Source organism: Homo sapiens, chromosome 18 (assembly GCF_000001405.40).
Source record: "Homo sapiens chromosome 18, GRCh38.p14 Primary Assembly".
Lineage (NCBI taxonomy): Eukaryota > Metazoa > Chordata > Mammalia > Primates > Hominidae > Homo > Homo sapiens.
In genome coordinates, this window is record NC_000018.10 from 40,041,187 (window position 1) to 40,067,862 (window position 26,676).

Here is a 26,676-nt window from a genome sequence, read left to right on the forward strand (position 1 = left end):
TTTGACTAAAACTCTCTTACTCTTATTTCTCATTGATTTTGTTTTAATGCTTAATTCTATTTTTCGCAATAACGTTCACAGATGATTTTATTTTTCTCGCATAGATTACAAACCCTTTTATGGCCAGAAGTACCCTAGTTTTTTTGTATTTCCTGCATTTGGCTGCATCCAACACCAAGTATCAAGTATAACATCAAGAAATCCCTTACCCTCTGATTGTTAATAGCACTCCACTGTGGAAGCTGGGTGAGATACATACAGAGGAATCATTGACATATTCCACACATGAGATGGGGCTGACCTCCCCTCCCAAGACTATGGCTTTGTGGATTCATATATTTATCCAAAGTGAATATTTGAGATGTCTTTCTAACAGGACAAGATAATTCCTTTATGATATTTATTTCGTAAGAATAAATATATGAAATGTGTCAATGCACGTAGCCTGCAATGGTGAAAATGCAATACTTCCCAGGCTTGTATTTTTCAGTCATTGCACAGTGCATTTACTGTCGTCTAATTAGGCATTCTAAAAACCTGAAGTCCCCTTGTGTTTACCCTGCAACAGTTGTAATCCAGTGTGCCTGACACTACAGTATTTATCCCCAGAAATAATTACTCCACGGAGAAGGCAGCAATGTGAGTACATCCCAGGACCAGAGAGCAATGACAGAGGACCTCAAGGCAATACTTCATATTCAGATACAAATGGGGTTCACAATTAATACATGAGACATCACCAATTTTAATAAAGCTGATGAAAGGTAGGTAGATATGAAAGTCAAATATACTTGGGATTCTCCCCTTCTCTAAGAGTCCCTCTTTAAATTAAGACTTTGCCAGGTGATTAACAAGAACGCCAGCTCTTCAAAGGGAAGCAAAGCCTTGTTCTTTGCTGCTCCACAGGCGACCAGCTCTCTTTCCCTTTGGTCCAGATGGAGGCTTTGTTCTCCCGAAGTTGGTCAGGTGCTGTGCCTGTCCAAAAAAGGGAAGCAAGCGCAGCGTTAGGAGCCCGCACCTGTTTAAAAAGCAATGTCGTTCCCTGAGCTCCAAAGCCTGAACATCAAATGCCTCCCTTTGCCAGGCAGCTTGGCTATTCCCCAGGCGTTTTCAATCTAGTTGGGTAAAACAAAAATTGCATAATTTGTCATTATTTTCAAGGAATGAGATGTGCCTTCTACAATCCCTTTCGAGTTAAATACAATGACGCTGAGCTTCCTCTGAATGCCAATGCCTTCTTTCTCAGAAAGAATAGAAATAAAGAATGAGAAAAGAAACACCCAATTGATTGCCTGTAATTTGCTCGGGTATTTGTTATTGATGTATTCTTTGTATGCATTTTAGGGATAGGTAGCAGAAAAACTCTTTCCCGAGGTCTTCAGTAAAGAGAAGTCAAACACTGGGAAAAGCTGGAACAGGAGGCCAGGACTTCTGAGTCAGCTTCAAGATTTAAAATAAATAAATCACATCAACTTAGGTAAACCACAAGTCATGTAATCATTCTTCATTTTAAAAAGGTAGATTAAAATTGCCTTCCCTAAATATATTACATTTAATTGTGGAGTTAAAATGTAAAAAAAAAAATGTGGGAAAGTGCTTTACAATTTTAAATATTTGCTATAAATGTAAAGTAGTTTGAATGAATGAGAAATAAGGGGTGAGATGAGATTCTTATACAGGAGTCCTATCAGTCTTTCTAAGGTGAAAGCTTCAAATCCAGGCAGACAGGGATGTAGAAAGCAAAGAAAACTCAGCAACAACCATCGGAAAGCAAGGGCATCCTAAATCTCATCTATTAAGAGTAGAGAAAAGGACCTAAAAGTCCCCACCATATTTTCTTGTATACAGGCCCTTCTGCTGCCACTTGGTTACAACAATAGTGGAGAAAAGTAGGCCCATAAAGCAAGACTGATTGCTGGGAAGGTGATCAATTGCTGCTGTGAAAGGGGAAAAACTGATAAATTTTTTTTTTCTCCTTTTCATCACAACCTTTTGCTAAAGCTGTGCAAAATGTGTCATGCATAAAAAGTATGCAATTTTCATGTAATTAGAGGAACACAAGATGAAAATGAGTTCCATCAGAGCAATCAAGGATGGTAATGTGGTATGTATTTGTCAGTGCCTATTTGTCATGAAAGCAAAACCCAACAAGTTATATATTTTATTTCATTTTAACTCTGAAAAATATAAATGCCATTTTGCCATGGCCAAATCTATAAATTTCAATAATCCTTTCTTTTTTTTTGAAAAGTGAAGTTTTGGAACTGCAGATTAGATCATTTTACTCTTTTAAAGAATGGAATGCTATTTTATGAAAAACACTGAGATTACAGGACAGATTTATTCCATGGAGGGTCAGATTTACAGCAGGAGGTGATAGGTTTACAGTTTGCTATACAAGAAACACACTATAATTTATTTTCTCTGAAAATACACTTGCATCTTACAGTAGCATGTGCCTCTGATCCCATCCTCATGCCCCCCAAACCAACTGTATTTTTATATTCTTCTTGGGCAAGAGGGCATAAATTTGTTCTTTTTCTCTTTCTTCGTCTTTTTCTCTCATCCTTCTTTTCATCCATTTATTTATTCATTTACTGTGTTATTTGAGACAGTTTATTGAGCTTCAAAATTGTACCAGGCATGTTAAACTCTAATGATAGAAAAATAAAGAAACCATGACCTCTGTTCTGAAGCTGATTCTACTTATTTGGGGACAGAGAAAAGTAACCAATTAATACAGTAGGATAGTAAATGGAGTGTGCTTCCATTGGTAAGATTTAAGGGAAGATACCTATCTAGCTCAGTCTTGCTATTTGAAGATTGGGACAGGGGTGGGGAAAGAAAGTCTAGGAAGAGGAACAGGTAAAGGCAAAAGCTGGGAGGATGTTGAGAGTTTAGCCATTGATGAAAGAGCAATTAATTACTTTTATGGTGGGAAGCACAAGAGGTCAAGAGTTGAGACCAATGATTTGAAATGGAGAAGGAAAGATGAGAGACATCCTTATAGGCCAGAGTAAGAGGTCTAAGCTCTGTCCTCCCCGCAGTATGAAGGCTTTTAACAGTTTTAAGCATAATCAAGTCTGTCTGTAGAAGAAACACTCTGACAGCATTGTAGAGAATTGATGTGAATAGACAAAACCAGTTATGAATCTAATAATTCATTTGGGAGACAGTGATGGTTTGAGCCAAGGTGGGCATTGGGGATGGAGAAAAGTAAATGGGTTTGGGATGCCTCATAAAGAAAATTACCTGATTTGGAAATAATTTCTAACTAGGGAATGAGGCGTGTTTTTATTTTAACACTTACTCATTCCTTTAAAAGAAAGTTCCAATTTCTGTTTTTGAATTAAGTTGCATTTTCTTTTACTTCTATAAACTGGGACAAATGATATCAAAAATTCCATTATGATGGACTATCTTGAAAATAAGACTTTAGTGTCCCCTTCTTTCTCTCTTCTTCTTCAGGATAAATGTCACGTTATTTGTCATATGAGTTAAGATTTTTATCAGCTACTTATAAAATAATATACATGGCATTTTATTTGTTTTGTTAGTTGTTTGTCCCTATTTGTATAGTCACTTAAAGGATGCTTACATGACACTTTCTAATGTTCATATTCTCTAATGTGGGGGTTAACAAACTTTTTTTTTTTGTTGAGGGCCAAATAGCAAATAATTTAAGCACTGCAGGCCACATCACAACTCCTCAACTCTGCAAACATAGCACAAAAAGAGCCATAGACAATACATAACAGTAATATTTCATTAACAAAAGCAGGCGATGGGCTAGATTGGGCCTATAGGCTATGATTTGCTAACTCCTCTAAATCTCATCCATTTATTTCTGTGTTCTGGGTTGCCAGAGAAGGCCTTTGAGATCCCTAGGCAATTTCAGCATGAGAAGCTCTGCAGTTCTAAAAGTTTGGAAGGATGATTTTGGAGCTCTGAGTAACGTCTATTGAGACACTTACATTGTCTACAACCTTGCTAATGTCAGACAACTTCCCTTGAATACAGGCTAGATAAGGTAGAGTTTTAAATCTTTAAGTTTTTTAATCAAAATTTTAAAATATAGGATGCAATTTCAACAATATATGTGCTATTACCTTTTTATTTCATTTTACAGTTGAATGTGAGATTTTTTCTTCCCCCTCCCCACCCCTGTCCCGGTATATAGAAGTCATGCCGTCAGGTTATAACTAGGTTCCTGGCTTTCCTCTGTAAAATAGAAAAAACGTCACCAAAGGGGCCCACTGAGCAGATTCCATACAGAATAAAGCGATGAGAACAGAAGAACATGCTGCACATGACTGCATCCTTCTGCCTGAATTATAGACTTAGAGCAGTAGGAAAAGGGACTAGATCATTCCTATAGCTAACACAGTTTGCATAAACCTGGAAAACTATCACAGATTTGAGACCTGCGACAACATGCCCTTGTTACAAACTTCACAGAAAATTAATGAGATCCCAGCTCTGATCTCTTTTCCTCACTTTCACTGTTGTAGGATAGGACCTTGATTACTGGCCTCTCACTTACACTGAAACACAAGACCTCTTGCCCCTTAGAAGCCCATCTGTTCATACCATTTATGGCCACTGGCTCTTCCTGCTTCTAAGTTTTCCTGAGTTACCTTGATTCCTTCCTCTTGCTCTTCAAAAGCTCTAGCAAAGGCAAATTTCCTAAACCTTAGTTTATAGGCCTAGAACTCCCAATTAATTGAAGCTCAACTTTTATATGTAATTATCTTGCTGATGTTACTCCAGACCCAATGTGTGGAGATTGGACTGCATTTGAACTGTTCATGTTCCACCTCTAATCTGGAAAGAGAGAGTAAGTGTCAATGCAACAGAAGAAGCTTTAATACCCTGGAGGGGCATTCAACAAAATGTGACCAGAAATAAAGAATAGATTTTGTATGTGTGGGTGGTGTGTGTTTCAGTATGTGTATGTAGGAACGTTTGAACTTGAATTTTCAGGGTTAGAAGCTCAGTACATGTAACAATTGTAGTCATTATGGTGAATAATTTCTCTTAATGAGTCTTAGATAATGACATCTTCCCAAAAGGGAAAAGTGAGGGGTTTGGCAGAAATTGAAAACAGACAAAAGGTGGTGAGTGAGATTTGGGCTTCGCTCAACAAACATTGACTAGGATAAGCTCATCTCGTTCAATGCAAAGGATTGTCATCCGTGTTTTAATGGTTAGATCAAACTGGGTGAAGTTCGGTTTAATTGGAGAGGAGATTGCATGGAATAAGGTAAAGTGTAAGGTGGGATTTTAGAGGCTGTAGATGCCCCTAGATATAGGTGAAATTATTAGGGGGCTGCATTAACTGGGATAGGTACCCCAAGCTCTGGTCTCTCATCAATGCAAAGGTTTCTGGTCACTGTAAACACATTTTTAAGGGAAGTATTCTAATCTTGAGTTAGCAGGGGTTTTGGCCCAAGATGCAGATGGAAGTTGTCAAGAAAATAAACTTGTCCCCCACCTCTATCCTTACCTCCTGTTGATAAACAAACCTATACCACTGGGTTTGTTTATTCTAAAGTGGATAAGCATGTGCTCACTACGAAGGAAACATTGCCAGCTTCACACTCCAATGACTCTTGGGCCATCTGTCCAGGTATTAAGCATTTTTATTCTTTGCTCTGCCCGCATAAAATGGTGATCGAGGATGATCTCTTGGAATCTCCAATCACAGAGTCTTCTGACTGAGGTGATGAAGAAAGGCTCAAGACTCCATGCAGGAGAACTGAAGAACCAGGAATGATGTTCAAGCTTTAATGCTGGTTAAAGGAGGGTGATTGAACACATGTAAATTGAGTCCCTAATTTTTCAGTGCATTATGCCAGGTGTTGTAAGAAATAAAGATGAGTAAAATTAGCTCCTCATTTTGGGGAGGTTCTAATAGAACTGGGAGATATGAGACAAATACACAGAATGAGATATAAACCAAGTTAACACGAAGAGTGACTATGCAGAAGGGGTGAAAGAAAGAAGATGGGAAAATCACACATTATTCAGAAGAGGCTGGAATGCCAACTACACTTACCCAAGTAGATCCTGAATTCTCAAGCTTTTGTCAGGACTCATGTAAATTTCTTCTATTTTTTCATTCTTTTTTTTTGTTTGTTTTTTTGACAGAGTCTCATTTTGTTGCCTAGGCTGGAGTGCAGTGGCACGATCTTGGCTCACTGCAACCTCCACCTCCTGGGTTCAAGCAATTCTCTTACCTCAGCCTCCCAAGTAGCTGGGACTACAGGCGTGCACCACCACACCCAGCTAATTTGTTTGTATTTTTAGTAGAGACGGGGTTTCGCCATGTTGGCCAGGTGGGTTTCAAACTCCTAACCTCAAGTGATCCTCCCGCCTCAGCCACCCAAAGTGCTAGGAATACAGGTGTGAGCCATCACACTTGGCCGAGAACTCATGTAAATTTCAGGTGGGTTCTGCAAGCCATGATACAAGTACAGAGACTTTGAATTTTATGTGGCAAACAATAGTAATTCTATTCCTTTCTTTTCTACTGATATGAAGAAATCATATGAGAGTTTTCAATTATCAAAAATTACATTATAATCTTGAATCTGCTCAAACATATTTACAACAAAGATAAATAATTTAAAAATGTGATTATATAGCTATTATTATTATCTATTACTTGTGGCATACCTCAAAGTTAAATAATCTCACTAATGAAAAGAGTTGAGACAGAAATTTGAAACCTAGGTTTTTTTTTTTTTTTTAGTTTAAAAATAAAAAATCAGAATTGAAAAGAGTAAAACACTGAATAGTTATGAAATAATACTACTAGCAGTTTTATTTAAAAAATGAGTAGGAGCTATAATCAGCCATAATATTCAAAAATTATCAAAAACGTGTATTTTGTTCCTGGATATCATATGAAGTGTAGTTCTAACTATTCATAAACAAATGGACTTGTTATGTAATGGAATAAGCAGTTTGCAATCTAACTGAAATAATTACATATCAATATTTATCCTCTCTCCTGTCTCCTTTATCTTTTTAATGCCATTGTCACAGCTAAGCATTAGAGAAATAGAAAACAAACAAAATCTAGGTCATTGCTGGCAACTGGAGACACAAATAGTTGATATTCCAACTTGAAATTATACAGCCATATTTGGGCATTTGGACATATCTGAAATTTTCCCTGCTGAATCCAATTCACCAACCCCAATTTGGCCTCAGTGCCTAGGAGGCAGCTTGGGGTAATGAAAAGAGCATGAATTTATGAGGAAGACGGTTCTGGGTTAAATTGTGTTTCATCTCCGAGTTAATTATCCTCTCTGAGTCTCACTTTTTGCTTAAGTGAGTAAGAGTGCCTACCTTTTGCTGAGTATTACACATTTGTCTTGTATTTGTCTTCTGGAACTTTATACCTGCTAAGTCATTGCATCCTGACAACATTATTTGGAAGTTAAATGAGATAATTTCTACACATTCACATAATAGGCTTTCCATATATGTTACTTACCTTAATTTTACACTTATCTGAAATTAACTCATCAGTATCTGTCCCAATTAGAGAACTATGTAGGTTAATGTAGAAGAAAAAACTCATTTGCAGGACTGGGCATTGTAACTTCACCTCACGATCAATGTATTTATGGGGCAATAGCCAATGTTTACATCCACTTCTCCTTTACTTTCCTTAATGCACTTAATCCTCTTTTCACCCATACTTTCTATGATAAACAGGCCTACAGCACCCGTTTGCAGATAAATAAATACGTAAATAAATAAATAAATAGATTCCCAGAGCCAGCTTGGAAGAACGGTTGATAGTCTGAACCATTACGGAGGTGAAATTTCATTACACAGATGGTGACATCCCGATGTCTATCATCAAAACACAGCAGGTAGAAACCATCAGCCAGGGCCATTCCCTTCTATAAAATTACACTTATATTAATGTCACTCCGGATTTCATTATGCGGAAAATGATATTGCACAGGTCTCCAGCACTAGGGGGGCGGCGGAGGGTGGGGGTGCTAGGGTGGTGAGGGAAGCATAAGGGGCTGGGGTGGGAGAGTGGGAAAAACAACTGTCTGTGGAGAGACCACGGAAGCTAATTCAGAGGAAGTCTGCCTAGGAATGGCAGATCGAAAAAAAAGAGTATATGCATGTATATATAAATGTATATTTTAAAATTCCTCGTAGATTCTACTGCCAGTTCATGCTGCTTCTTGATTGACTCGCCGCCAGACGTCCTCCACAGGCCCCTGATGGAATGTTTAAAAGGCCCTCCTGTGGGAAGCAGGGAGATTTACAGTTAATTTTTATTAATGAAGGATGACAGGCATCTCCATTTAGCCAACAAGATATTACACTGGTCCAAGAAAACGCCCCTGTATTTGGAACAAGCATCCTTATCCCATACCCCAACCCACCTCTCTCTCTCTCTCTCTTTCATAGACACAGAGTCACAGGCGCACACACACACACACACCCCACACCACACACACACACACACGCATGCACACACACACACACTCTTAAGCATACACATGGGCACCAGGTAATTAAGAATACAACAAATTAAGAAACAAAGGAGAATATTTGCTTTTTTATATTCTGGTACTCCCCTATCAAAAGAGAAAGGAAGGAATGGGGATTCTGTGAGTCTGGGGATGGGTGAGTGGTGAGGGTCCGATAGCAAATGCTGCTCATTCCTGCTGCTGCTTCCTGTTACTCGTCTGCATTCCTACATCTCAGCCCCCACCCCATATTCATTCCCACTCTAGAGAATTCGCTGCCATTTCCGAAATGAATTAGGATGCCACATTAGTTTTGTAACTGGCCTAGTTACCCACCCTTGTGCTTCTTTGATTTACTTCTCACCATGCAGCAAGAATTTTTTTTCGCCATAATCTGTTGCATTTGTTCTCTGATAAAAACCTTCAGGGATTCTTTAGGCTTTCCAGATCAATAAAAATTCCTCAATATGACCACCAGGATACCTTATGGTAGGGGTCCTGCCAATATATTCAAGAATTGGTTTATTTAACGTATTAATCTTCAATAATTGGTTTATTTAAATATTTAAATATCTCTTTTTTAATCCACTAGTTTTTTGGTAGGATACCCCCCTCCCACTCACATAAGTTACTCATTCTTCTAGGCTCAGTCCCACTCTTGTTAATTTCAGGATTATCCCCCAACATGATTTTCTTCCTTCTTTAAGTGACCACTGACTATTCACCAGTGTTGGGGATGTATATGACTTATGTCCCCAATAAATTCAAATGTTTGGCAGTTAAGCTTCATGTCCTATTTTCACCCCAATATGCTGACTCTTTGAGATATGCCACCTTCACCCCTCTAAGCTCACTGAGGAAGTACCCTATCCTGCAGTGTATGACTTGCTCATATCATCCCTTCCCAAGTGACAGCCATGACAAACAGCCTGGTTTGAATTCTATTCAACCTTAAATCAACTTAAAGAACAGGTCATCTCTTATCTTCTTATCATCCCTATGAAACTTTCTTATCCAGTATTTTGACCTCCACTCATCTCTTCTCTATTTGTGTAATATTTATATAGCGTTCCGTAGAGTTTTAGGTATAACTTAAATTGTTTTTAAGAGATGTATATTTGTCTGTTCTCATTCAGTGGAAAATAACCTCCATTGGCTATAGCATTTTTTAATCCCTCAGAATACTAATCTCAGAGTAGGCAGTAAATATATGAGGAATTGCTGAAGTGAGGAATGAGTTAACCAATAAACCAATAATAGTGTTCAGTAAGTAATAGTTGGACACTTTAAAAAAATTTTAATGAACATATAGACATATATGTATATGTTATATGCATGTTATAAACCTCATTTCCCATTCATATTGTTTTGCAATTTTAAGAACCATAATTCTTCTTGTGACCGCTTTTCTGGGGCCACTTCATGCCTCAAGATTAGACAATTATAATATCATTCTCTAACTGTATGGGCTCCTCAGGTGTTCTTCACGGGGTTCCTTCAGCTCTTTTTCACACTTCTTTTATAGAAAATGGGATGAATTAAATGACCAAAACTAGGAGCTTACTTTTATAATGTAGGCTACAGAACTTTACAAAATCCAATCGGTATTTAAATAGATGCAAACTTAACTGAAGTTTTCAAACTTCAGGGTACCCACAGATTAATTAACCTGGGTGTTTGTTGTCCCTCCAATAGAAAACTCACAAATATTTTAGTTCAGTGTGTTTGGAGGCATCTCTTAAATCCCAATTTTAACATGCATGTGATTCTCTGCAGGTGCTGTGCAAAGCACACTTTAAGAAAAATTAGTTAGAGATCAATTAAATAGAAAGGTATGAGTATGTAAGAGAAATTATTAATCAGCAAAGCTAAACACCCACAAGTTTATGCTCCAGTTTCCTCTACTACTGTCTATGGGTCTTTTTCTCCTTCACTAACAAGAAATTCTCAGTTTTAAAGTTTGTATCATTTTATTCATATCTGCACTCCCCATCAAAAACCAAGGTTATAGAATTAACCACTTTCCTGATGGGAATTTTCATTTGCTAAGTCATATAACATCCAAGCTTTAATTCCATTAGTTATATTTGATAATACAGTCTGAATGGTTGCAGATGGGTACAATTGGTATCTTCAAATTGTGCTCCTTAATTCAAATTAATCTTCAATTGGTGGAGCATATGTGCATTTTTTGTCACTGTATTTCTTAACACTAGGCCTGTTCTATTTTGTAAATCTCACATCCGCCTTCCATTACCCAACTCTAAAAACACTTAGTAGAGAAATGTATACACACAAAAACATGTATACAGACACACACATGCACACACAGATATGCACACACACACACCTCTGACTTCCAAAGAAAAAATTATTGTACAATGCCCTAGCCTTAAACCTTACCAAATCCTTGTTGTTGATTATATTTATAAATGGCTTCAAACTTCCCTTAATGTCACTATCATAAAGTCATGCCTGAGTAAAATATTGAATTGGCACAATATATGCTTTACATTAAAAATTTGATTTGTAGTAATAAACAGCTAATTCAATTAATTTGAATTACACTCCTCAACTACGTGAAATCCATGTTAAATTAATTAAAACAAAATGTAGATACAATAAAATGCACCCATTTTAAATGTACATTTTGGTGAATTTTCACAACTGTACACATATATTTACCTACCATCACAATTAAATTTTAGAGCATTTCCATTAACCCCAAATTTGTCTTGCACACCTTAAAATTCATTCAATCTTTCTTCCTGGACACCTGGCATCAGGCAAATACTGATCCAATTATAGTCTGTTTGCATTTTCTATAATTTTATATACTATAATCAAATAGTACATACATTTTTATATCTGCATTAAGTTAGTATGATTTTTTTTTTTAAGACAGAGTCACTCTGTTGCCCAGGCTGGAGTGCAATGGTACAATCTTGGCTCACTGCAACCTCTGCATACCCAGTTCAAGTGATTCTCCTGCCTCAGCCTCCTAATTAGCTGGGATTATAGGCACACCCCACCACAACCAGCTAATTTTTTGTATTTTTTTATTTTTAGTAGAGACGGGGTGTCACTATGTTGGTCAGGCTGGTGACCTGACCTCATGATCCACCCTCCTCGGCCTCCCAAAGTGCTGGGATTACAGGCATGAGCCACCGTGTCCAGCCAGTTTGATGTTTTAAAAATACAGCCATACCGTTTCATGTATCAGTGGTTTGTTGTGCAGTATTCCATTATATGGATGACAACATTTTGTTTATCTGTTTACCTGTTGAAGAACATTTGTGTTGGGAGTTAATTATAAATAAAAATTGTTAGAAACATTTGAGAACAAATTTTGTTTGGAGATTTTTTAAAATTTCTTTTAGGTAGATACCTAAGAGTGAAATTTCTAGGTCATATACTGTGTGTATATTTGACTTTCTGGAAAATTGCTTAATTTTCTAATTGGTTGTGCTGTTTTACATTCCCACCAACAAATATGGAAGATCTATTTGGTTCACACTCTGGCCATCCTATAGCCAATCTTTTTAATTTTAGCAATTCTAGTGGCTGTCTAGTGGCATCCCATGGTTGTTTTAATTTGCACCCTTCTCTAATGACTAATGATGATGAGATCAGTGCTTATTTGCCATCCATACATCTTCTCTTGTAAAGTATGTGTTCACACATCTTTTGCCCAAATTTTTACGGGTTTGTCTTCTGATTTTGAGGTTCAAGAGTGTTACTGATACAATTCTACAGCTTGTTGTTTCATTTTAAATAATTGAATTATTCAAAAAACAGAAGTATTTAATTTGAATGAAGTCCAATTTATTCATTTTTTTTTAATGGTCGTGGTTTTGTTTTCTAAGATATCTTTGCCTATTCAAATGGTTATATAATTTTATCTTATGTTTAATTTGATAAATTTTATACCTTTAACTTTTACCTTTATAACTTTTATCCATTTTAAGAGAAGTTGTATACCATATGAGGTAGGAGTTAAGGTTTACTTTCTTTCTTACAGATATCCAATGTTCTAGCACCATTTGTTGAAAAATATATCATTTTCCTACGGAATTACTCTGTCAGTTCTGTCACAAATACATCTTACCATATATGTGTTGGTCTACTTCTGGACTCCCAGTTTGGTTCTTGTTGATCTGTATGTCCATCTTTTTTTTTTTTTTTTTTTTTTTTTTTTGAGATGGAATCTCACTCTGTCACCCATGCTGGAGTGCAGTGGCACAATCTCAGCTCACTGCAAGCTCTGCCTTTGGGTTCACGCCATTCTCCTGCCTCAGCCTCCCGAGTAGCTGGGACTACAGGTGCCTGCCACCACGCCCAGCTAATTTTTTGTATTTTTAGTAGAGACGGGGTTTCACCATGTTAGCCAGGATGGTCTCAGTCTCCTGACCTCATGATCCGCCTGCCTTGGCCTCCGAAAGTGCTGGGATTACAGGTGTGAGCCATCACACCTGGCCTATATGTCTACCTTTTTAAGCCCTATATGAATACTATTCTGTCAATCACAATGTCCTGATGGTTTGCTTATCAAGCTCCAACCTAGATCAGTAATTACATTGAGTTGTTACATTTTTTAAATCTATTTTATAAAACCTTTCTCTTGTTGAATTTGTTCCTCTGTCCCAAATGTTTCCAGTAAACTAAGAGTTATACATGGAATACTTATTGAATTCAGGTTCAACATTTTAGACAATAATACTAGGTGTTCCTATAAATGTGGATAATTGATTTTTCAAAAGGGAAAGTTGGAAATTTTTTTTAATGTCTGGTTTCTGTGTTTGTATAATCCTGTATTTGCTAATTTGGGTTAAAGACTTTACATTTATTTTGATTTTAGAAGTTATGGAAATAAATTTTACTGACAGTCTCAAAGCAGATATAAATAATTATTAGTTCAATGGCTGATATAAGAAACTCATTCTGAAGGCAGGGACTAGTCAGAAGCCTTGCCTCTGGGCCTGAGGACTTGAACCACAGATAAATGGGGATGCTCGCCTCAGAAAAGCTAAATCTGCCCCTTGGTTATATTGGAGACCTTGGTTTGAATATTTCCTCCACCATTCATAAACCAACATTTCAAAGCAGAGCTGACTCCAGCTGTTTTAAGTTAGAATAGGAAGATGTGCAAGAATAATAAAAAGAATAACATCTATGCATCCATGAAAATTCAGTGTTACCAAATTATCTTTTTTTTAACACAAACAAGACCAAATCCATTTTTTTGCAAGGAGCAGAGCAAAATTAAAATGCAAGATTCCTGTCTTAAAAATTACTGTGAGCCTGAAGACACCAAGAGTAGACCATTAAATTAGGTGTCAGCCCTTGTAAGTTTGGGGTTCTATGTGACTGCACAGCTTGCACACCCATGAAGTTAGCCCTAAATTCATATGACAACCTGAATGATCTCCATTTTGTAAATGAAGAAACTGAGAACAGAAGTGTAAATTGGCTTGCATGTGATTATGAAACTAAGGTTGTGAAGCTGCAGAGGGAAGATTTTCTGACTCTAAAGAATGCCTGATAATAAAGCTGAGTTCTAAACTCTATACCATGTAATATAATGTAAAGTGAGGAAAGTAAAGAGGGCATAGGGAAGAAAGAGAGAGTGGGAAAATGATTCTGAATACCCTTGGAGTACTTTGAAATTGTGAGAACTAACCATGCATTCGACAGCCAATGGTGAGGAAGCTTGGATGACTCACTAAGGAATTTGGACATGATACTCTAGACCAACATCTTGATTTATGACCTAGTGATCACTTATATCAGTATCACTTAAGAGTACATGTCAAAAATCAGATTCCTGAGCTCCAAAACACTCATACAGAATCAGAATCCCAGGGCTTTGTCCTGAGAACATGTACACTTGACAAAATTCTTGAACGATAATCGTGCAGTTTACTCCTCGTTGTCACGCCTGGACTCAAAGTAGATCTGAACTACTCTAGACAGCTAGATTTCTAGAGCATAGGTACAACCTCTTTCCAGGTCATGTGAGAAGCCTTATAGTGCAGAAAATGGTAATCACCTTGACATTTCTACAAATGGTTAATATTTAAAATATATAGGAAACAAGTAAACATTGAAGAGATAGTGATGATAGAAAAATAAAAAGAGAAATAAATCAGTAAAAGACAACTCAATATTGTATGAGGGTGTATCTAGTCAAAGGTACTGGTAGGATAGCCAGGCTTTATCATAATTATTTAGAAAGAAATGAAAGGAACAAGACTCCACTAAAAGTGGTATTAGCAGGAGCAAATTGTACTCCACTGGATTTTGCAGAATTTCCTCTACCACATTGCTCCAAGCTCCATATTAATTTTTTATCATTTTCTTCAAAACATAGCCATTTTATATTAAATATTTTTATTAAAAAACAGAGAGAAAAAACAAAATAGGTAAATAAAATCACAACAGAGCCTTTTGGTTCATTGCTGCAGAATCTTTTACTCCATCACTGTGTCTGCCTTTGGAGTTTTCTCCACTCACTGGGGAGAACACAGCGGAGTGTGTTTGTCTGCCCAATGTGGAATCAAACACTCAGCCTCTCCTTGGAGAGGCTTTGTTGGCAGTCACACATGGATCCGCTCCAGGACCAGCAGATTTCAGGCCCCTGGAGAGATGCAAGATTTGCAAAGGGCAGGGAAGATTGGCAAAAATATTGACTTTGATATTTCATCACTTCACATTTCCAAAGAGTAGAAATGCACTGACAACTGCACCTTTCTAATCAGATGCTACCAGAGGTTCCCAGCACAGCACATACTCTAGGGACTGTAATACCAACAAAGCCCCAAACAGAATGATTTATATTAGAGCAAAGTAATCAGCAGCCTTTCTGCTTCTCTCTGCTTGATTTCTCTTGTTCATCTGTTTGGGTAGCACTTTACAGCTTCCTATTATGGAACTTCTTAACTTCTGGCTATTTTCAGATGTTATTTTGAACTCATTTGTCTTTTCAGAGTATATATAGCTTCCCTAACTATTAAGATCTGAATGGTGACAAGAAGCACCCCATTTTTTCCCTATCACCTGAGGAGAAATATTAAGTATTATTCAGTGCTTGGGAGAATGTATTTGTCTTGGAATTGTATCACCTTGCTTGGGGTTGTGTAATATGAGAGAAGTGGGTTGTGAAGACAAGAAGAAGGACATTCAAGGGGTAGTTGGAGGAAAGCAATCAAGATTTCTTTGCATCTAAGTCTTAATTTTTTTTCTTTTTAAGTTTGAGATAGTTTGGTTCATAAAATACTGTATCTGATAGACTCAAAAATAATATCTTATTCTGCTAAAAAGTTAGTTTGCCAGTTAGATATGTACAACAGTTTAATTCGTATCTAATCATTTCCTAATGTAAGTTACCCTTTTCTGTTTTAGTTAGGTATTATAAAAGCTTGTTGTTTTGTGTGGCTTACTCTGCCAATCATTTCTGTTAAATTTCTTTTAAGATATGTGGCTATTATCCTATGCCCCTTAAAATGTAGACACATCGTTGCCTCTGCAGTAAAGTTATTCCCTATCCCCATGTGCTGAGTTACTTAGACCTTCCCTTGATATTGCGCATGCTGCTATTGAACAACTATCACACCAAATTTGAATTTATATTTTAATATCTGCCTCTCTCATAAGAAATGTGAATTGTGTTTATTCATATTTTGACTGATATCGTTTGGTTGTGACCCCATCCAAATCTCACCTTAAAAAGTAATAATTCCCACCTGTCAAGGGCAGGACCAGGTGGGGATAATTGAATCATGGGGGTGGTTTCCCCCATACTGTTCTCATAGTAGTGAATAAGTTTCATGAGAGCTGATGATTTTATAAAGGGGAGTTCCCCTACACAAGCTCTGTCTTGTCTGCCACCATGTAAGGCATGATTTTGCTCCTCCTTTGCCTTCTGCAGTGATTGTGAGGCCTCCCAACCATGTGGAACTGTGAGTCCAACAAACCTCTTTTTCTTTATGAATTACCCAGTCTTGGGTATGTCTTTATTAGTAGCATGAGAACAGACTAACACACTGACCTTCTGTAGAGGCTCTGATACATATAAGGTGCTCAATGTTTTTGTTTTTATTTTCATTGAATATATAACTCATGGTTGGAACTGAAACAACAAACTTTGTCTTTGGTAGTATTGTCAGAGGCATGTGAACCAGAGCAACTCCATCTTGAATAGGAGCTGGATAAAATCAGGCTGAAACTCACTCGGCTGCATTCCCAGATGGTTAAGGCATTCTAAGTCACAGGATGAAATAGAAAGTAAGCACAAAATACAGGTCCTAAAGACCTTGCTGATAAAACAGTTTACAGTAAAGAAGCTGTCCACAACCCGCCAAAACCAAGATGGTGACGAGAGTGACATCTGGCCCTTCCATTAGCACCATGACATTTTATAAATGCCACGGCAACACCAGGTAGTTACCCTATAGGGTCTAAAAAGGAAAAGCATAAATAATCTATCCTTGTTTAGCATATAATCAAGAAATAACCATAAAAATGGGCACCCAGCAGCTCTCAGGGCTGTTCTGTCTATGGAGTAGCCATTCTTTTATTCCTTTATTTCTTAATAAACTTGGTTTCACTTTACTCTATGGACTTGCCCTGAATTATTTCTTGCATGAGATCCAAGAACCCTTTAGGGGTCTGGATCAGGATCCTTTCCTGTAACAGTTTGCTTTGCTGGCACCTTTCCAAACAGCTTCCCAGCCACTTATCACTCATTCAGGCATTACCACTAACTCCAGTTCCTCAAAGCATTTCAAGATCTCTGTCATGGAATCTGTTTTCCTGCCTGATCCTTACTGATACATGAGAATAAAAATTTTACCTAACTCTTGGGGAATTGCTGTGGAACTAAAAAGAGGTAATGTTTTATGTAATACAAGCCTGGCATATGGTAAGCCCTCAATATGTGCCATCTCACATTATGTATACAGTAAACATTCAATCATAATTTTATTATAATAATCATTTGAATTAATATCTGATTTTAGAATAATCTTGAATTTGATAAGACACACTTTTAGGTGTTTTTGCACCTTCTAGGTAACATTCTGTATCTAACCACTAAAGAAAATTTCACCCCAAAAGTCTACTCTGATTTTCCAATGGTCCTGGAACCATCCATTACCTCAGAGTTCTATCCAACCTCCAGCTTGTTGGCAGAGGACTTTCAGGGACTTGGCTTTTGGTGAACTATTTGAATTCTGTTTCTGTGTACTATTCTCTTACAAATGGTGGAGGTGGCCCCCTTCTTGTATTAAACCACAGCAGTTACAGCAACCTCAACCCATTAGTGTGGTGTTTCCTGTTGCACAATGCCTTTACCATGATTAGAAGTCCAACACAAACTCATCCTCCTACCCACACACACAACGTTAGCAGCCTATTCATATATTTATGTACAAAACACTTTATTTTATAGGATCCCCTTCGAAGTCATTATTATCTGAGTTAAAAAAAAAGAATAAAAAAAAAACTAAATAAAAGGGAGAAACAAAAACACAGGTAAAACCAACAAAAAATGCCTCAAGAATAAGATTTGTCAGGAAATATTCTCTCTGTCCTAGAGAGGAGAAAATTATGGCAGAGAGTTGTTTTCATAAGACTGTGAAACCTGCCAGTGCCAGAGATGGCATTGGGTACAGTAGTCCTGTCCCATCTGTTTCACTTTGCTATGAATTTGAGAAAAACACTAGCCCTGGACCAGACCCACAGAAGACATAAGCAAAATGCACTTGGGATCTGAAGGTCAGAAATGATGATCTGATGTAACTGAACTTGACGCACCTTTGGGAGCCATCATCTCTGCAAGTCCACCACATTGTTCTTAGTTACTCTGTGGGTTCCCTTTATCATTCCTTCTTCTCTGTGGTTTTCCCTGAGTCTTTCTCAGACCTACACAGCCATCTCTGTTTTCATAGCTTTTCTATCTTCCACATATTAAAACATATTCTCTAAAACTACCATCCGGAAAGAATTTAGATATGCCAATCCCACAGAAGTGATAACCTCAGGTGAATTTACGTTTGAACAAGGAACAATGATGGTAGGATTTCAGCTGTAGCAACTAGCTATAGAGGAACATCTTAGAACAAGAAAGTTGTCTACAACCCACAAAATCATACTTCGTCATTTGCTACTTCTTACCACATGTGATTCCTGGAGCAATAGTACAAATGGATACCTACATAACATATGTTAAATATTTACTTTTTTAAAAAACCAAGATAATAAACTATCAAATTATATTTGATCCTCCTACTTTAAAGAATATTCCTTCATAAAAACCTGGAAGAATACATTTGAATTTAGAATTACTTAACTCTTCAGTTTTCTGTGCTAGGAGCATGGCAGTCTGAAAATCAGACTGAGAGTCTGAACATCAAACTCAGTCTCTGTCTGTTGTAAACAGTTACCCTACGGTCATCCCTTCCCCAAGGGTGAGTACAGTGACCATTTCCTCAGAAGCAACACTTAGTGAAGAGATCTGTACAGTTTGGAAATGAGGCTGGGATTGTTTTGGCCAAAAATCTCAAGGTCCCGGATACCTGGAGCATTGTCCAAATGAGGGCCACAGGCTCCAAATGAGCACATCTGTACAGCTTCATGGACACCTACCACTTGCCATGCCACAGGAGGGTTGCAAAGGTGCTCTCTAAAGTCAGGGTCCAGGACCAGGGATCCTCTTGCCTGAGCCTAATGTGCTATGGCTAATCAAAGCCTACTAGTATAGGCTATGTAGAGAGCAAAGTTCATGCAAGGCTCAGGAGAGTGAAGATATAATGAACATTTTGAGAGTGTAAAAGACTAAGTTATTCCCAACTTGAAAGAAATATTTATGTGATGAAAAAATATTTTCCATCTACCTAGCCTAAGTCTTACCCTATGTTTCAGAGAGTGAGACCAAAAAGGTTGGGGGAAGAGTTTGAGATTCTCTCAAAGACTCTACTGGGCAATTTAGAAAAACACTTACTGCCAGAGAGGGAAAAAATTGTGTTAGCAGTCTTCAGGGAAGGTGGCACTTCTGCAACAGATGGGCTGACTGAATTTTTTTTTAAATGACGATTTTATGCCTTTGGCAGAAGTTTTCAATGTAATTTAGGAAAGAGGAAAAACAACATAAAGACAATTGATGCTATTCTTTAAGAAGAGAGAAAGAACATCAAAAATTAGAGTTGTTAGTTATCCTAGGTTGAAAACATTAAATATTTGTGAGCATTTTATAAAAAGACTTGCCATAGAAATTGGCAGAAATGAAACCAGGTTTCAAATCTACGTGGCATTTTATCAGCTGCAGGGCATAAAATTTTCTCAAAGGCAAGAGTTAATTAAGTGAAACAAATTTCTTCTTTTAGTTCCCTCACTTTTCTCCTATTTTACTATTCTAACTGCCTGCTCATGGTTTTCCCTGCTTCCTAAGTCTACATTGTCCTATTCATTCTTTCAAGAAATTTTCTAACAGTGAATCTGAATATGTATAATCTTGAAGCACTTTCAACTGCTCCTCAACAGTTACATTCAAATTTCACACCCTTTAAAGCCATTCCTAATATGACGCCCAGTATCTGGTCTTGATCAACTTTTCTAGCTTTATTTCTGACTCATTCCACCCTAAATATTCCACTGAAAAATTTTCTCTACTCTGACATGCTCTTTTAAGCCTCTTCACCTCTGCATATTCTATTCCTTCTACTTGATTCACTTTTTCCTGCCATACTTGTCCTTGATGAACGAATATTTAATTTGCATTTGAAACATTAACCTTCTCTGAGACATTTTACAACTCTCCAAGGGAGAGTTAGTTTTATCTTCCTCTGAGTTTTCCCATACTTTAGGCTCATTCCCCAGTAGGACAGACACTTTCCATGCAGGGCTGGGGGCTTGCCCTCCAGGTTTTCCTCTAAGTGAAACCCCTACCTCCCTCTCACTTTCAAAGGACTGCTGAAGTTACATACATCTGATGGCAACAAACCAACATGTAGCAGAAGTAGAAGTAACTTTCTTGTCGCTTTTCTTCAGAGTGAGTAATATCTAATGTATATATTTGTTTTTTTCTTGTTTTTCAGAAGCTCTTCAACACAGCTACCTTTTGGGTTATATGCTCACCCTTAAACCAATTACTGGTAAATGTAATGGAATTACTACACTTCGTTTTTGGACTTTTTTTTTTTTTTTTTTTGAGACTGAGTCTCACTCTGTCGCCCAGGCTGGAGTGCAGTGGCACGATCTCGGCTCTCTGCAGCATCCGCCTCCTGGGTTCACGCCATTCTCCTGCCTCAGCCTCCCGAGTAGCTGGGACTACAGGCGCCCGCCACCATGACCGGCTAATTTTTTGTATTTAGTAGAGACAGGGTTTCACCATGTTAGCCAGGATGTTCTCGATCTCCTGACCTCGTGATCCGCCCGCCTCAGCCTTCCAAAGGGCTGGGATTACAGGCGTGAGCCACCTCACCCAGCCTTTTTTTTTTTCACTCTCTCTCCCAGTCTGGAGTGCAATGGTGCCGTCTTGACTCACCGCAACTTCCGACTCCCGGGTTCAAGCGATTCTTCTGCCTCAGCGTCCCGAGCAGCTGGGATTACAGGCGCCCACCACCACGCCCGGCTAATTTTTGTATTTTCAGTAGAGACAAGGTTTCACCACGTTGGCCAGGCTGGTCTCGACCTCAGATGATCCACCTGCTTCAGCCTCCCAAAGTGCTGGGATTGCAGGCATGAGCCACCGCGACCAGCCTACACTTGAGATAGAACTTGAGATAGGCTGGGCACAGTGGCTCACACTTGTAAACTCAGCACTTTGGGAGGCCGAGGTCAGAGGATTGCTTGAGCACAGGAGTTTGAAACCAGCCTGGGCAACACAGTGAGACCTCATCTCTACAAATAATCATAATAATAATTTTTTACAAAAGCCGCATGTGGTTGCATACACCTGTGGTCCCAGCTTATTTGGGACACTGAGGTAGGATTGTTTGAGCTCAGGCGATCAAAGTTGCAGTTAGCTGTGATCATACCACTGTACTCCAGCCTGGGTAATACAGTGAGACCTGGTCCAAAAAAAAAAAAAAAAAAAAAAAAAGGAACTTAGAATAGTGTTAGCTTCCCTGAGGGGTGGGTAGTTGAATACAAGTTAAATTATTTTGATAAACTGGGATAGAAAAATGAATATTGGGATTAGCAAGCAATAGTGACTGCTCTAGAAGTGAAATGTCTTTATTAAAATGGGATTTTTGAGGTTTTCCTGATGAACTTGCTTCTAAGATGTGGTCTGCAATCTGAAACATTATCTCTTTTTTTCCCTGCAATAACACTTGAATCTTGACACCGTGCTTTGGAGGTGTTGGATTTAATCTCTCATGATTATTCTTAATGGATAAATTTCAAAATCTTTACTTTTTCTCCTCTACAATTATAAAAGGCAAAAGAAGTATCATTCAACCTAGAGAAAAGACCTACATTTCATTAAGTTGGAAACTAAAACTGCACATTAACAATCTCAAAACTCCGTAATTTTAGAGAAACAAGTGATCATAGGTGCTATCATGCTATGCAGACATCTTAGGTGTGAATTTTCATAGCAGGTGAATTTGGGACTTGGGGAATCTCTGCTATGGTTCTTGTATGACCATGGTCAGTGGTAAAAGTTAACAACAGTCTACCACTGCATTGCACAGGCAAGACCACAAAGGCCTTGGATTCTGAACAACCAGGGGTTTGTCTCACACCATTATACTAAGAGTTATAGCCAACTGGGGTTCTGGGTGAAAGCCAAAGACTATAAGAATATGCCACAGAGAAAATAAGAGACAAACAACAACAACAACAACAAAAAAACTGCTAAACTGTTGTGAAGTAGAAAAAGGACTTCAGATTTCATCTGTGCCTGGTTATTACTGCCATTGTTCATAAGTGTTTGCATGTGTTCTAATTATCCTCTCTTCACTAACTGTATTGGTAACTCAATTTACTATGTAGTCCATAGCTTATAGATGATCTGGTAACATCTGGGTGGAATTATGATGGAATTAGAGGAAAAATATACAACATATGGAGACTGTGGATTCCAAGACAAACAGCATTTAAAGGAGCCTGTGATATTCTCTGTGGATATAGTAACCAGAGATGCCTTTGAATTCCATCCTTATTGGAAGGCAATAATTGTGTGTAGGTTTGATCATTTTAGATAGGCACATCCTTGAAACTATGCATATAGAAAGATAGCAACCAATGACACAAAGGGCACTGTATCTACATTAATACTTGAGGAAGGATAGGTGAGTTAGACAGCTGGGAGAGCTAAACAGCGGATGCAAACTGGGGTTGTTGTAGGCAAATTAGCACCTTTGGTCAGCCAAGCTATACCCAATATCTGTTTCTTTGTGAACCTGCATTATCCACAAACCAATGCTTATGAAATAAGTAGTGAAGTATCCTATAGGCAGAGTTGGCCACTGATTAGATCAGGATCAGATGCTTTTGTTATTGAAAGGTAACCAAGCCATACTTTCCATGATGAACAATAACATGTTCAGCCATAAATGACTCTACTCAGTAAAGTTAATAGTAATTAAATAAGCCAACCAAACTAGCTTCTTCTGCAATTTGGACTGAAAATATGGAGAATTTTGAATAGACAGGAAATAAGCATAAATACAAATGAAGGCACAATGGGAAAATTTATTTGCCTACCTCACTCGAGGGATGGGAATTGTGTTGGAGATAGGATCAAGAATGGGCTGATAATTATGACTTCTCTTAAGTGGCCTCCCTGATAAATAAGAACAAAGAAATGCAGTGAGTTCATATTTTAATGGGACCAAATAAAAAAAATTCTACAAACAACCTCCTGGATAAAAATGGTGGCATTAAAATAGCTGCATTAATTTGGATATATCAAAATGCCCTGAGTGATACTTTATTCTACAGTTTAGCAAGAGACTCCTTGGGATAAGTAACTCAATCCAGGATGAGATACAGAATATTGATGAGATATTGACACCACATTTAGAAAATACATGTATTTATGTATCTCTGTTTGTATGTTTATGTGCATATATACACTAATTCTTTTAGCAAGTAGATATGGAGAGAATATTACTTGCTTTCATAGCATGCTTCCAGGAGTTTCAGAGAATACGCCTCTGAAGAAAGAGAAATTATGTCCTCTGACCTCTTTTCTTAGGGCTGTTTGGAAAGAGAGCACACACATCATAAAGAAGAGTTCAAGGTAAACCTAGACAAGTGAGTGGATTTGAAGCCATCATATCATACAATCAGAGAATCTTAGGTTTTGAATGAAATGTGAAGATATATTTCAAATGAATAATTGGAAGAGTGAATGAAAGAACTAATGAATCTAATAGAAACCCTACTGATTGCCTACATACAATGATTGCCATGAATTGTTATTTACTTTTCTATGTATACTAATTAACACATCTGCACCATTCTCTCAGTGTGTGCATATCTTGTGTATAGGAGGTAGTTAAGAAGTTCTCAGTATAACTTTATTAAATTTACACCCTCAGAAAATGTCTGCCAAATGGGGAGAAATGTGTATTCATTTTGCTTTCACCAACGAGCTAGTAAAGACTTGCTGAATGTTTCATGAATGATAAAAGTGCAAGATAATATAGGATAAAATGTATACCAGGCATAAACACTAAAGGTGAAAAAGATCTGTAAATTTAGAAAAACATCATCTGTACAATAAGCATCTTTTAGAGAGTCATGATGTCTCATGGAGAGCTATCTTTCTGGTTGATATAGTCCTAGTACAGACAAAAAATTGTATTTTCACAAAATAAAATGTGCATTTCTAATTTCATTTACTTCGTTGTGTTCCTTTCAATATTTACCTTCCTAAAACACTCTATAAATGCGAATACAGTTGAAAAGTTGCTTATCTGTCACACTCCCTTTCATGGATTCCATGTCACTTTGTTGTTGTTGTTACTGTTTTAAGTCCCTCTGACTCCGTCTCCTTCAGCTCCATCGGAAAGGTGGGCACTGTGTAATATTTTCTTTCCCATCAGAGTAGACCTGAACTCTCTGAGGTCAAGACCATTTTTGCTGTTGTTGTTCACACCATGTTCTTGGGGCCCATCCCATGGTGGCCCCCACACAGGGCACGATGACTACATTGTAGAAGACCTGTGCTCCAGTGTGGATCTTCCTCTTTAGATCCAGACTTACTGATGCACAGATCAATGCTCAGTGTGGATATCTTCAGGCTCCTCAATCAGGACTTCCAAAGTACAGATAAACAAACAAACAAACAAAAATACATCATTTTCCACTCAGAATAAACCCAAACATCTTCCATCACTGCAAGTATGTTGACACTGCCTGAATAGCGGCCCACCATGTCAGAGTAAAATCATGCAAGTAGAACTCCCAGTGGCCTATCTCAACACCACAGAGTTTCCTAAAAAGAGACCTAACACAATGAGCATTCCTTAGAGAGTCCAGGTATTCAGATGATCTACCTTGGCAGACGTTAGTTCTTGCTTCCATTTTGTAATAGCCTTCTGGAATTTGTTGTCTTTGCATATTCTAGAATCTCTGTCTCTGTCTCTGAGTCTCTGTCTCTCTCTGTCTCCTCACAGTCTGTTACTACTTAATACAGTGCTTATTGGCCTGAGATTGGACATTATTTAAAAGCAATTTGGAGAGTTTTCTCCATTTCAGGCAAGAAAACATGCACTATTTTTCTGATATGGCATGGGACATCGAAAAATAGTTTTGAACAAAATTTTGAAATTTTTGGCCCAAAGAAAGCAAATACCCCCTGCAACAAACAAGATGTGTCACAATAAGTCATGATTTACAATCCCTTTCAAGACTGCCTGTTGCCCTTAGCAATCCCTAAAGCAAAAACAAACAAAACAAATCTTTTCAGCATATCTTCATGAAACTGTCTGGGATGTGACAAAACTTTGAGAAACAGTTTTGTGATAATGGTTTTGCACTTTATTGGTACTTCTCCACAGGAGGTGGTGAATGGCTACTTTCAAATACATAGAGCTATCAAAGGCTAAAGTCAATAAAAAACCTCCATAGAATAATTGGAGAGGAAAGAAAAGGGGGAAAAAAAGAACATAAAACGAATGAAAAGGCAAGTAGGACCTATAAATATAAAAGCCTAAGGAGTATATTTTGGGAGAACAGATGATGCAAAGCAAAATTGGGAATAGTTATTGGAGGATCAAGGAAGGCAAATAAAACAATAAGATATATGATGCCTGTCCTCCTGCCTCAAGTCTAGCTCATCAGACAGTTTTTCATTCCATTTTGTATATATGAGTTTCATCTGACTACTGCCAACAGAAAGTGCTTGGATTTCCTGACTTTTTTCACTGTCAAAAGAAATAATAAGCTGATGAGATTCAAAGGCAAGTAATATAACATCCTTTCCTTGAATGAGAAAAATACAAATTGAGTTGTGGGTTAATGAATAAGGTATTTCTATTTTTCATGTTCTTCAAAATAATAATCATAACACTAATGAAAATTAATAACAAAAGATAGTATTATGTACCAGAATAACTTGTCTAGAAACCAGAAGACCAGAATTTGTTGATAAACTTTGTACCTAATCTTACTGCTTAAAATCCCATGGATTGTGAGAATGCAATTAAAAGGACTAATTTTCCATCTCTGGGAGTACCTGAATGATAATTCACCAAAAATATGCCAGAGAATGGGGAAGGGCTGAGGACATGAGCTGACTTGGGCAGTTGTTGACTGTGGGGCAGAAAAGTCATCTGTGCTGTATAAATGCCCAAACAGCTGGGTGGCACCATCTGTCTGGAAGATTTACTCAAATAAAGTGCAAAGTCAGGTGATCAAATAAGCAAAGTCAAGATACTCATTTATGATTTTCAAGGCAGTTTGGTTTAGTATAGACAGACCAGAAGATGAAGATCCCAGCATGACCAGCCATCCAGGGAACCGGCTGGGATATCAGTTTAAAGTTGAACCCTAAAAGCCTAGAATCACGGAAGGGTAGAAAGATTTTACACAAATGCCAACGACAGTGACTCTGACCTCTTCAAAGAGTCGGAGGAGACTAATCATGAGCCACAGAAAGTGAGCACTGGGGATGGGAGGAGAGAAACCATTTAATAATCTGGAGAGATCAGGTAAG

General features: G+C 37.7%; 2 long non-coding RNA genes across 2 annotated transcripts in view, besides 1 other annotated feature; one reads left to right on the forward strand and one right to left on the reverse strand.

The window, feature by feature from the left end:
* Positions 636–1,170: an enhancer, noted in NCBI's record as "OCT4-NANOG hESC enhancer chr18:37621786-37622320 (GRCh37/hg19 assembly coordinates)". NCBI's record gives its function as "activates a minimal SCP1, AML or CMV promoter by ChIP-STARR-seq in naive H9 embryonic stem cells {active_cell/tissue: H9 hESC(naive)}" and the evidence as "EXISTENCE:reporter gene assay evidence [ECO:0000049][PMID:30033119]".
* Positions 23,209–25,279, reverse strand: LOC105372081 (uncharacterized). Its single transcript, XR_935407.2, has 3 exons — positions 25,016–25,279; positions 24,386–24,774; positions 23,209–23,295 (listed from the first exon to the last, which is right to left on the reverse strand). It is a non-coding gene; the product is annotated as an uncharacterized LOC105372081 (long non-coding RNA).
* Positions 25,100–26,676, forward strand: part of LINC01477 (long intergenic non-protein coding RNA 1477) — a 32,948-nt gene continuing 31,371 nt past the window's right edge. The window contains exon 1 of the long non-coding RNA NR_110791.1: positions 25,100–25,921. This is a non-coding gene — a long non-coding RNA (long intergenic non-protein coding RNA 1477). The remainder of the gene's footprint in view (positions 25,922–26,676) is intronic.